The sequence below is a fragment of the Homo sapiens genome, chromosome 15, assembly GCF_000001405.40.
Source record: "Homo sapiens chromosome 15, GRCh38.p14 Primary Assembly".
Taxonomy (NCBI): Eukaryota; Metazoa; Chordata; class Mammalia; order Primates; family Hominidae; genus Homo; species Homo sapiens.
In genome coordinates, this window is record NC_000015.10 from 63705569 (window position 1) to 63718518 (window position 12950).

At 37.6% G+C, this 12950-nt stretch overlaps 1 protein-coding gene across 50 annotated transcripts in view, besides 2 other annotated features; it reads right to left on the bottom strand.

Annotated features, from left to right (window-relative positions):
- Positions 1 to 12950, bottom strand: part of HERC1 (HECT and RLD domain containing E3 ubiquitin protein ligase family member 1) — a 225331-nt gene that overhangs the window by 96951 nt on the left and 115430 nt on the right. For 26 of the 50 annotated variants that reach the window (XM_047433260.1, XM_047433247.1, XM_047433234.1 and 23 more), the window contains exons 22-25: positions 10734 to 10905; positions 7785 to 8097; positions 7207 to 7327; positions 1212 to 1263 (exon numbers count right to left, since the gene is read on the bottom strand). In XM_047433260.1, the coding sequence (XP_047289216.1) occupies positions 1212 to 1263; positions 7207 to 7327; positions 7785 to 8097; positions 10734 to 10905 (658 nt within the window). Of the gene's footprint in view, positions 1 to 1211; positions 1264 to 7206; positions 7328 to 7784; positions 8125 to 10733; positions 10906 to 12950 lie in introns of all 50 variants that reach the window. The other 24 variants (XM_047433233.1, XM_047433227.1, XM_047433251.1 and 21 more) reach the window with 1 other exon arrangement.
- Positions 8684 to 9185: an enhancer, noted in NCBI's record as "H3K4me1 hESC enhancer chr15:64006451-64006952 (GRCh37/hg19 assembly coordinates)". NCBI's record gives its function as "activates a minimal SCP1, AML or CMV promoter by ChIP-STARR-seq in naive and primed H9 embryonic stem cells {active_cell/tissue: H9 hESC(naive and primed)}" and the evidence as "EXISTENCE:reporter gene assay evidence [ECO:0000049][PMID:30033119]".
- Positions 9186 to 9685: an enhancer, noted in NCBI's record as "H3K4me1 hESC enhancer chr15:64006953-64007452 (GRCh37/hg19 assembly coordinates)". NCBI's record gives its function as "activates a minimal SCP1, AML or CMV promoter by ChIP-STARR-seq in primed H9 embryonic stem cells {active_cell/tissue: H9 hESC(primed)}" and the evidence as "EXISTENCE:reporter gene assay evidence [ECO:0000049][PMID:30033119]".

A 12950-nucleotide genomic window follows, 5' to 3' on the forward strand; every position in this document is an offset into this window, starting at 1 on the left:
TAACATTCTGCCAAGGAAGCTATTAAGAGAAGGGTTTCATTCTGAAATACAAAAGATTTAATATCATGAAAAAAAATTTTTTCACAGGCTTTTAGAAAACTGCCACTAGTGGCAATTTTTAACACTTCACATTTTCACAACCACTTAATAAATGGTTTTAAATAAAAAATACGTTAGGGTAGGCATGGTGGCTCATGCATACAATAATCCCAGCACTTTGGGAGGCCAAGGTGGGAGGACTGCTTGAGCCCAGGAGTTCAAGACCAGCCTGGGCAAATAGGGAGACCTTATCTCTACAAAAATAATAAAAAACTAGCTGAGCATGGTGGTGCACACCTGCAGTCCCAGCTACTTGGGAGGCTGGAGTAGGAGGATCCCTTGAGCACAGGAGGCCAAGGCTGCAGTGAGCTATGATGGTGCCACTGCACTCCAGCCTGGACAACAAAGCAAGACCCTGTCTCCAAAAAAAAAAAAAAAAAAAAAAGCAGCAGTACCAGTTAATAGAGAAAAATGCTTAAGAGAGTTTTTAGTTATCATTGGATTTACACTATCTAAAACTGCTGGGTTTTTCCTCAATTTGTACACACAACCATGAGTTAACTATACTATTCATTAACAAAAGACCTTAACTCTCAATGACACTCTAATTTGTTCCTCATGAAATTTTTAAAATATTTTTTATGTAAGAGATATAATATCTCTTCATGTAAGAGATAAAGCATCTCTTACATGCTTTATCTTAATAGGCCAAGAGGGAAAAAAAATAGAAACTTTTTATTTCAACGTGTGTGTACACGTGTACGGGGTAAGAAGTTCTCCCTGTAACACCATTTAAACTGTAACAACTCTGTGAGCTAAAACATGGAAAATTTTGTAAATAACCCCTTTCCATCATAATGGAATGTACTGTTTTTAGAATTCTATAGGACTTTTAAAAAGTCAAAATACATGACAAATGAGAAAATAACTGATTATTAACTCCTAAACATTCCCAGATTTTTAAAGCGTACATATTTTAAAGAAAATAGTCTTCGTTTTAACTCTTCTGATAAAATGATTCTGAAATTTTTTGCAGTTACATTTCAAAGACAATCATATCTAAATACATCAGATATAAAAACAGCTTCTTAATTTATTTACTATGCTCTTTTTTTTTTTTTGAGACAGGGTCTCACTAAGATATTTACTATGTTCTTAATACTTACACTTACCTCTCTTTCTGTGAGATGCTGCCAAATCCAAATCAACATTTCGTCTGCCACTCTATTAAAAGTAAAAAGTAAATAAATAAAATTTAGTTGTGAAAAGTATTTTAAGATTAAGATTTAATAGAGTATTAGAATAGAAATTCATGTAATTACAGCAATGTCTTACTTATTCATCATTCAAGTCAAACTAATAACAAAATGTCCCTAAAAACCCACTGAACATAGCTATAAGGAGGCTCAAGCACATATAACTCTGAAACACTAACTAAAAAACTCACATTAATTAACATTGCAGAGTAGCAGTAGTTTTTGTTACCTTTTTCCATTGGAATCTTTGTCTTTTATCTTCCAGACACAGTATGATCTTATTAGCACCTTCCGGATGCCTAAAGCCTTGAAGTAGTGCCTTATTTTCCAAAATTACTACTCCTTCCTCTAGCTTCACTTTCTTTTCAAAACTTCCACTAGCCTTCGCTAGGTGTTTAGAAGAAGAAAATCTGATAGTCTCCGTACTAACAGAAAAATAACAGTCCTAAACCTTCTGGTAGTATTTGAAAAGATTTTTAAATGTCTTTTTAAAAAACCTATTACAATAGACAAATCTCAAAACTGGTGAACTACAGACAGTTTAATAAAGCAGTGAAGGCTTACAAGAAGAATGGAAGTATATTTCTGTGTGTTACCTGTGTATCTGGTGGGGGGATGTAGACAACTGCCTACTTGGCCTATATGTACAGGCAACCATAAACAAATCATATATGACTTAAGCTTGTGCATAGACTTGACATTATGGTATCAGCAATTTCAATTGTACTCTATCATACAATCCAAAAAGCTTGTGTCAAAGAAGGCCCGGAAGTGACAAAACAAGGCCGGGAGTGGTGGCTCACACCTGTAATCCCAGCACTTTGGAAAGCCGAGGCAGGTGGATCGCTTGAGGCCAGGAGTTCGAGACCAGCCGGGCCAACAAGGTGAAACCCCATCTCCACTAAAAATACAAAAGTTAGCTGGGTGTGGTAGCACACGCCTGTAATCCCAGCTACTTGGGAGGCTAAGGCAGGAGAATCACTTGAACCCAGGAGGCGGAGGTTGCAGTGAGCTGAGATTGTGCCACTGCACTCCAGCCCGGATGACAGAGCAAGACTCCCTCTCAAAAAAAAAAAAAAAAAAAAAAAAAGAAGAAGTGACAAAACAGATTCATTTGGAAAATGTTATATAAAATCTTTACCTGGTCATATATATAGATACATGTACCCCTGGTGCAGATAAACACACATTTTCTTATACTCACCTACCTATGTATCAACAGAAATAAGTATTATATATTCTTGGACCATTTGGTGCTGGATAAAACACCAAATAGTCATCATAAAGCTCCTCAAGGCATCACTGTGTCAGGCAATAAAACATTTTCATTACATAGTACCTTTGCCATGAGGACTCATGGAAGAAAACAATCTCAGGCCTCAGAACCAGAAAAATCTGGTTCTCTTGAACAATTTTGTTTTTTATCTTTTAGACACTGTGAATTATGTAACTCATTATGCTTTTCCTGTGTGGTGACCAACCTCTAGCAGAACACCACAGGATATGGGCCAAGATAAGAATATCTTACCCAGGGCTTTATTTTCCTCTCTCAGCCTTTTTCAGTCCTAATTCATTCATCTAAATTATCCTTTTGTAAAGTATCTGTTTTCATATGCTAAATCAAATCCTGCCAGAAACGAGGGAGCTAGGGAATAGACTAGAAGGGTGTAGCAAGAAATGTTAGTAAAAATGACACCTGTCAAACAGTTAAACTTAGGGTTGGTATTCTCTGTTTTAGCAAGCAGAGAATAACAGTAGATAACACGTCATATAATACATTTTATGAAAGAAGGTTAAAACAAAGATTTAACATTAAAGTAGTTAACTTCTAACATTTTAAAAAGCATTTCATTTACGAACAATTCAGAATAAATGAGGTATCAAAGATATGAACGGTAATCTTAAATAACCTCATATAGTATAGAAGGGTAACATATTTCAGCTGGAAAACCCAAACCATCCCAAGTGCTTGCTCCTCTTCATCCACCCCAGGCTCTCTGAAGCTGAAGGCTTAGCCCAGGTCTCCCTTCATCTGAAATGGAATCTGCTTTCTCTCTAGTTCTTGTCTTTTCCATCTTTTGACACTATCTTTGTAATATTCCATAAGGAAAGATGATCAAAAGTCAATCTGGTGTTTTTTGTTTGAGACAGTGTCTCGCTCTGTCACCCAGGCTGGAGTGCAGTGGCGCCATCTCGGCTCACTATAACCTCCGCCTCCCAGATTCAAGTGATCCTCCCACCTCAGCCTCCCGAGTAGCTGGGACAGGTGCACACCACAACACCCAGCTAATATATATATATATTTTTTATTTTTTTGTAAAGACAAGGTTTGGCATGTTCCCAGGCTGGTCTTGAACTGCTGGCTCGAACTCCTGGGCTCAAGCAATCCTCCCACCTCAGCCTCCCAAAGTGCTGGGGTTACAGGCATGAGCCACTGCGCCTGGCCCAATCTTTTTTAAAAATGGGTTTTTTTTTAGTCTTTTTAAAAATTTTCTAAAAACTAAGTGAACAACCAGAAAACCTAACAATCTTAACAATTAAATCTAAGCTCAATCCTCCTCCATTGATCTGTTGTCCCCATTTATAATTTTCCAGATATTTTAAATTGTATTACCAAATTTATTCTTCACAACACAGTTGAGGCAAGTACAACAGGCATTATTCTCCACTTCAAAGATAAAGAAACTGGAGCTCAGGAAGGTTAAATGTCTTGTACAGGTCAAAGTCCATGGTGAGTTTTAACCCTATTCTGAGTCAGATTTCATAGCTGATTTCCCAAAAGTACACCACTTTAATTTTACCCATCCTCCTTTCTATATTTTCATTTCAGTTGAAAGGAGTTATTAATCATTTACAATATGTAAAGCACTGTGTAGGAGATATCAGGGGCATTTAGGAAAAATAAAAACCAAAAAATCCTAGATTTCTAGTGGGTTTACTGGGAAGACATACTAATAATACATAAATAAGTCCAACATAAGACAAACGGTAAATTATCAGACATCCTAACAAACTGTCATGGGACAACTGGGAGAGTAAGGTAGCTGGGAAAGCTTTCTGGAAGAGGTAACATTTTAGACAGTCCTTCAGGGAAAGACAGGATATCAGCAAGGAAGCCTAGGAGAACTTTTAAGGCAAATAGTGCTTTAGCAAAGGCTCAAGAGGTATGCTTGGGGTCTGGCAGATGAACTACTATGGCAAAAATGCAGACCACTGCAGAAGAATACTGGTTCCAAAAGCAGGCAGGTGACACTTCCCAGAATCTTTGATTTCCGAGTAGGCAGTGCAGTCACTCCTAGATTTGATCAGTCTGTAATTTGGACTTGCGTGGACTAGCCATCTCTCTGCAGTAAGACAAGATGTTTGAGTAGGAAAGTAGCACAATCAGCAGGTAGGTGTTTTGTTGTTGTTATGTGTGTTTCCAAGAGTTCTAATTTGGAAAGAAGTGTCTAAGGAGCAAAACTGGAAAAAGTAGGGGGACCAGTTTGAAAATACCTACTCCAGAAACAGGTAATAGGGCACTTCAATTAAAGAAAGGAAAAAACCAAATGCATGTGGAAATTTTGCCAAAATAGATTAGACAGTTATTTATAAATTTAAAAATAATTTCCTGACTACCTACCACGTGCTATTATAGGTGCTTGGGATACAGAAGTGAATAAAACAGCAAAAAATTCCTGTCCTTAAAGAGCTTATATTCTAATGTAGACTAAGACTAACTGATCAATGAATAACTAAATTATACAGTAAGTGATCGGTGCCCCAGAAAAAACAAAGCAAGGCAAGGGGGACAGGAAGTGACTATTTGGAAAAGAAGGAAAATTGACATTTTAAATAGGGTGGTCAGCACAGGCTTCATGGAAAAAGTAACATCAGAATGAAGACTTGAAGAAAGAGAGGGAGTTAGCCATGCAGGCAATAGCATTCCAGTCCTAAGAAACAGCCAGTTAAGGCCCTAAAGGGAACTTGTGTTGCAGATTCACGCAACAGCTAAGAGTCCAGTGTGACAGAAGGAGAATCACTGAGGAGAGTAACAGAAGAGATCAGAGAGGTAGTGGGACCAGACCATGAAGAGCCTATAGACCCCTGTAAGGACTTAGACTTCTAGTCTGAGAAAAGGGAAGTCATTGCAGGACTCTGAGCAGAGAAACGACATGATCTATGTTTCAAAATTATTGCAGGGTTGGGAGCTGGGTGCAGTGGCTCACACCTGTAATCCCAACACTTTGGGAGGCTGAAGCAGGAGGATCACTTGAGGCCAGGAGTTTAAGATCAGCCTGGGCAACAGAGCAAGACATAAAAATTTAAAAAATTAGCCAGAAATGGTGGCACATGCCTGTAATCTCAGCTACTCGGGAGGCTGAGGCAGGAGGATTGCTTGAGCTCAGGAGTTCGAGGCTGCACTGAGCAGCCTGAACTCCAGCCTGAGTGACAGGGTAATATCCTGTCTCAAAAAAAAGGGAAATTATCACAGAGTTAGGAGACTAGATAATGAGTCAGATTGATCAGATTTAAAAAATTAACTGACAGAGAAATAAATGAGCACAGGAATCTCACTAGACTATAAGACTGGGAGTATGAAGTGGAAGCACAGAGATATTAATGCAGATGAAGGAGAAAAGGAGGAAGTATAAACAAAATGTCATGATACAATGAAACGTAAAGACACTGTTCAACTTTCCTTAGATGAGGAATCCTTTATGGAAGCTTTTTTAAAACAATAACTTATTCTTTATGTAGCACTTTATACTTTTTCAAAAATATTTTCCTATCCCTTCTCTCAGTTCATACAACAGAGGAATTTCAGAATTACACATGGAGCTTATAGATAAGTCCATCTCAAACGCTAGCATTTCTCTATGAGCTGTCACATGATATGACCAAGATCCCACCGCTCTTTAACAGTAGAATCGAGACCAGAAGCCAAGTCTGACACATCACCATATACACAACAGGCACTACCATCTTCGTATCACACAGTAAGACACTAAAGCCCAGGGAGGTCATAGCACATATAGAATCACACACAAGGCAGAGGAACAGCCAAATTGAAAACCTAGCTACCAATTAACTCCAAGTCCAAAGTTCCTCAAGTAGAAGCAATCTTCTAGATAGTTTTCGCTTTATATTTTACCAGTGACACTGTAGCATACCTTTACCTCACCTCCTTTTTATATAAATTAGCATCTTATTTATCTTTACCCTAAATGCCTGCAGTCCAGGTTCTGAGGCTTTTTTGATAGTTAACAGAGCTGTTAAAAGATTTTGAGTAGAGGAGGTATAAACAGATTTGTACTTTAGATATGTTAGTCTTGTGAAATGTGGAAGGTGGGCACAAGGCAAGAGGTGAGGCAACCAGTTTGAAGGCTTCTGCACACGTCCACTCAAAAGAGAAAGTTTAAAACAGAGCAGTGGCAGAAGGAAAGGGAGAGGAGAGGACATTGGAGACACACTAACGGTAAAATTTTTAAGACTTAACTGGATTGGGAAGGGGTGGAGAATAAAGGGATCAGGAGATAAGAAAAAAGAGTCAAGGATGATCCCAAGTTTCTTGCTTGGATAGTTAATGTACCACCTACTAAAATAGGGAATAAAAGAGAAACAGGTTTGGAGAGAGACGAGTTCACTTGTAGATAGGTTAAGATTGGGGTAACCCAACTCATTCGGGTGGAATGTCCATCAAAGAGTCAGATATATGAATTTAGAGTTTAAAAAGAAGTCAGAACAAGAGATTGAAACCATTAACACATATGTGGTAAACATATATGCAATATAGTTATTTCTCTTAAAGTTATTTTTGAAAAAATTTTTATATGTCTAAAACAAACATATTACTTACTCTAACCAAAGCCTTACATATCATATACCTTGAAAACAAAAATCTTTCTTTACTGAATCTGGGTATACCTACCAGTGCGTAACCCTCTTCATCTGATTCAGGCTGAGACAAATCAGATTCACTCCTCGATTTGATCAGTCTATAATTTGGGCTTGTGTGGACTAGCCGGCTCTCTGCAGTAAGACTTTCACTCCTGTCTCACATGTACAAAAAAAAAAGTTTTTTGATTTAGGACTGTTAGTGAACATAAAATTGAATGGAATTGGAGCACAGAGATAATATACACACACAGGGAGGAGTAATGTCAGTTGACAGGAAATCCTGACTCTTGTCTGAGCACAAAGACCTTCTCAAAATAATTTGCATGTCACTAAACTACAGAGCAATGCAAGTAACTTCACATGCTTTTTCACTGCTGTTGTTTATATATACGAAAAATTGTGCCTCCTCATTTAATCAGAAATTTATAGCCCATGCTGAATCAGTATCAGTATTTACTTTACTTTAAGTTCATCCTAGTCAATTTGCATTTCTTCTTTCATGTCTATGTTAACATCAGAACACTGTAACTTTGGAAACAAACCATTTCAGTGCATAAAGTAATAAAGGGAAGTGAGTAGGTCATGTTTTCAGTGTCTAGTCAGTCCCACCTGGTCATAAGTCCACCCCCTTCAGAGGCACTTGTTGAAGGTTGCTGCAACTGTCCTTCTTCTCTTCGCTTCTGAAGCTCATCTATCACAGGACTTACTCCTAATATTAACAGGGCACACCGATGGATCACGGAGTTGCATGCAGCAGTGTACACATCCTGACCCTCAGGAAGGTCTGTGCTGACCCTTCGCTCTTGCTGAGACTGAGGAGGTGGATCATCAGCTCGAGCCCCAGACCCTGCCCCACTGTTCATTCTATCTCGGTCTCGGCTACGAGCTACTTCACGGGCTGAGAGGAAACACTGAAAGATTTCTGTAACATGCAACACAAAAACAAGGTCTTAACACATGGGGAGAGAAGAGCAAAGAAAATAACAATAAAAATAGTCAAAAAGTTTGGACCAAAAACTTACTGAAAGAGGGAAAAATTATTTTTTAGACATTATATACAACATAGTTAACTTAGTTAAAATTACATTTAAAATATACTAAAATACTATATTTTCATAAAAATTACATTAGGAAATACTAATCTGCCTTTACAGAATTTTAATGTAATCACAATTCAAATGTTATTAATGAATTGGATCAGTTATTTTCAACGTACGGTCCCAGACCAGCAGTACCCACATCATCTGGGCACTTGTTAGAAATGCAAATTATCAGGCCCACCCCAGACCTTCTGAATCAGAACCTCTAGGTGGGGGACCCAGCAATCTGTGTTTTAAAGGCCCTTCAGCTGATTTTGAAGCCCATAAAAGCCTGTGAAGCACAAGGTTAGGTAAAAATAACTGCTTATTTCTGAAACGTTCACAAGCTTGGTGTGAAAAATGTGAGGTTTCAAAAGAAAAAAAAAACGGACAAAATTTAAGTTATATTAGTTACAACAAAAAATTCCCTTTCCCCTTCCAAAGTCCATATAATCCCTACCATCTACACTTTGCTGTATCTTAAACACATTAAATAAGCACTGTCACTAAAGGTCTTTGCTGAAACAGAATTTAGTTTTAATATATGGGGCAAGATTGCCTCCAGAGTGAGATGGCATCACCAGGAATACCCATCTGATGCCAGCCTTTCCATCAGTGGAGTTAACAAGGTTCTGATGCAGTGGTAGATATTTCACATTAGAAAAGAAATTTTTTGCACAAATTTGGAGCGAAGACAGTATTCTTCTTTTTTTCCTTTTTCTGTTTTTTTTTTTTTTTTTTTTTGGAGATGGAGTCTCACTCTGTCGCCCGGGCTGGAGTGCAGTGGCACGATCTCGGCTCACTGCAACCTCCACCCCCAGGTTCAAGCGATTCTCCTGCCTCAGCCTCCTGAGTAGCTGGTATTACAGATGCGCGCCACCACACCGGCTAATTTTTTGTATCTTTAGTAGAGATGGGGTTTCACCATGTTGGCCAGTCTGGTCTCGAACTCCTGACCTCGTGATCCGCCTGCCTCGGCCTCCCAAAGTGCTGGGATTACAGCCGTGAGCCACCGCACCTGGCCCAAAGACGGTATTCTTAATGGGAAACCAGGCCAAAAAAGTTGGTAAAATACTAAATTCATCAGTTAATATGGAAGTACAAACTTTAAAAATTGATCTGTATATTTTATAAAATTGTGACAATATTTTTGTTATGCTATTAAAAGTCCCTTATTTCTACAAAAATCAAAGCAATAAACCCTCTCAGAGTCCAGAGCTAGAAATCAATTAAAGTGGTTAAGAGAATGGTCATTGGTGTTTGGGGCAGACCTGCTTCTAATTCTAGCTGCTACTAACTGTAGCCTAAGTCATACAATTTTGCATCCTTAAACCTTAGTTCATTCATCTTTAGAATGAGGTAGTACTAGAACTTTAGACAGTTATGATAATGAGCTAATCTATGCAAAGAACTTGACCAGTGCCTGGCATATATAGATGCTCTAAAAGCATAGCTAGTTTAAAAAGTGTTAGTTCCCAGATGACTATCATTCTTTTATTGTAATTGAGGGTTATACTTTACTATATTTTCACCTTCAGTCTGCTTCCAGGAATTTCTAAACTAAATTTATATTCAACTGCAAAAGTTCCCTCAGCCTAGGTTTTTAAAATACAATTATTTTCCTTCCCCATCTCCAACTCCCTTTACTCCATTTGGATCTTTTTCCTTTTGTTTAAATTATGTTTAGTCTTGTTTCAAGCCCCCTCAAAAATCATTTTTAGAAGTATGCAGAACACAAATAAGTTGATAATAAAGTTAGGGCCAAGTTAATTGACAGATACAGACAATCTCAAAACCAAAGGCATTGCTGATCATGTTTTAGGGTACCGACTGAATGCACACTTTAACTGGAAATAGCCAAATCACTCAAAAGATACTAATAAATGTTTTAAAAACTTGATACTTCTCTTTAAACATATAAATAACTACCTTTAAAAACTATCTGAGCCTTGGAATATAAAGGTATGAAAAGTTTTATGCACCCAGTCAATAGCAGTCTCATGTAAATTCTTGCTCCCTATCGAAACAGCAGTGTAGTCAGTGGGTGAAATTTATAATTTTAGAAGTTCCACACGTGGAAAACATTATGGCTCTCCTAATAGGCATAGAAAGGGGCTCTCTTCCTCACCGCTCAGACGTCTTCGAGGCTGGTGGACAACTTGTTGCCCCAGAGGACATATTTTGAATGGCCCTATCTGATGACTCATGAGTTTCATTTCATGATGAGGCTCAGTGAAGCAGGTACTGACATTCCTGCTTCCAGAGCTTCTCAGCCCTGAATATGTAACCCAAAAGCATCAGAATAGTACTAGCACAGTTGTAGGAGCCCCTGTCAGCTAATACAAATTGAGATCACCAGCAGAATATAAAGTCCTTTTAGAAAAACTATGGAGAAACTTTGCCTTTCTCTTTCAAGTTAGTTCCCCTATCAAAAAGCATGCCACAGTTTGTATCTAGAAAGTAAGAAGGGTATACTCACTGCCAGCTGTCATCACTTCATGTTCCCGTTCCTCCTCTTCATCCTCTGGCTCCGGATGCCCCTCTTCCCGGTCTCTCTCAGCCTGTTCTTCCATTTCAGCTTCTTCATCAATAGTTCGAGTAAATGAATGCTCCTGAGGATCAACATCTGCAGAGTCCTGGTTTTCTGATATCTTAAAGAAATTATCAGAAACTACACTAAATACATTTTTTCCAAAATCTTTTTAAAACTTTAAAAAACCTTTAATTTTTTATCATGGAAAATATTGTTGATATCAGTAATAACACATGAACTTTACTACAAAAACCCAAAAGATACACTAGATAAATCTTATAGAAATAATGTATGTACACAAAATATATAGACACATATATGCTCTTCCTTCCTCATTATTTTGATTAAAATATCATGCTGTAAATTTATTCATATCTATATTGCTATTCAGCTATAAATTCCTACAGAGCTGCAACTTAGTAAGTTGTAATGAACATGATACCAAGCATAAAAGGTAATTAAGGCAGAGAATTTTTATTCTATTCCATTTTCTTCAAGTTGTTTATGTTACTATTACTCTGCATAAATGTTTAATAATTCTAAATTTAAAACAGTATTGGTTTTAATTTTTTTTCTTTAACTTTGCCCCTGAACAAACCAAAAATTAGAAATCTGCTAAGGACAATGTTAACTTGATTTCCCACAGTGGTTTCTACCTAGCAGTCATCTAGACAAAGAAAAGAATCCTTAAAACAGATACTCAGACAGTCATAAATACCATTCAGTATAAAGCACAAATGAAAAATTTTAATTGTTATCATCAGATCCATCATAAAAGTTACCTGTGACTCATGACCATTAAATAATTTAAGACTTTTACAGAGATGGGGATACAGAGTAGTCAGACTCACACAGTACATGTCATTTATCCCCATATATGAGTTTCAAATATGAGCCTCAACAAAATGGCAAATTAATACATTTCATGGACTTTCAAGGTCACCAACAAACAGATCCACAAATACTAAGTCAGTATATGACAAAAGTCTACAAATGGAGAGAAAGAGTTTGGTTTTTTAAATCTAAGGACTAAATAATGGAGTGCAAAGCATCTGATTAGTTAAGTTTCAAAGTCAGCACTACAAAGATAATGTTTTATTATCCAGGCTTGCATTTATAATTTTACGATCATGTTATCAAGATTACCAAGCACTTTAGAAATTATCTCCTTTTTGCTGCAAGAATTACTTCTGGACTGTTCTTAATAAGTAGTTTCGGCCAGGTGAGGTGGCTCACGCCTATAATCCTAGCATTTTGGGAGGCCGAGGTGGGTGGATCACTTGAGGTGTTCAAACTCCTCACTCCAGGAGTTCAAAACCAGCCTGGTCAACACGGTGAAACCCCATGTCTACTAAAAATACAAAAAATTAGCAGGGCGTGGTGGTGCATGCCTGTAATCCCAGCTACTCGGGAGGCTGAGGCAGGAGAATCACTTGAACCTGGGTGGTGGAGGTTGCAGTGAGCCAAGATCATGCCACTGCGCTCCAGCCTGAGCGACAGAGCGAGACTGTCTCAAAAATAAAATAAAAAACAAGTAGTTTCAATCTTCATTTCCAATGGTAGACAACTCTAATCATCAGAAAGCCTATTTTCCTAACATTCAGCTAAAATGATTCCCCATTTGATTGTTACCCTTTCGTCCTAGTTGTGTCCTCCGGAACAAGGAAAACATTTATTTCCTCTCTTACAGAGAAGCTCTTTAAGTATTTTTAAGGCAGCTATTATGTGACACACACACACACACACACACACACACACACACACACACAACCCCCTCCTTGGTTTTCACTTCTCTAAGCTGAATATTTTTGATACTTTCTAGTCCTTCTATGACATAATTTTTGGACTTTATCAATCCAAGGTATTGCTTAATGTCCCTCATAAATTATGGCACCCCAAATTAAACAGGATAATTCAAATGTGGCCCAATCAGCACAAAGAGAGGAATAATCATTCATATGATTTGAATCATTCAATTTGTTATTAATATTTATGCAGCCAACTAAAGTTTCTTAGAACCAATATCACACTTGGTAAATGTGAGGTTAAGTAAATCTCAAATCTTTTCCTTTTTTTTTTTCTGCTAGGAAAAGAACTACTCAACATGTATTGAACATATGCAATAACCAAGGCACATTTTTTTCTCACATAAACCAATTTAGA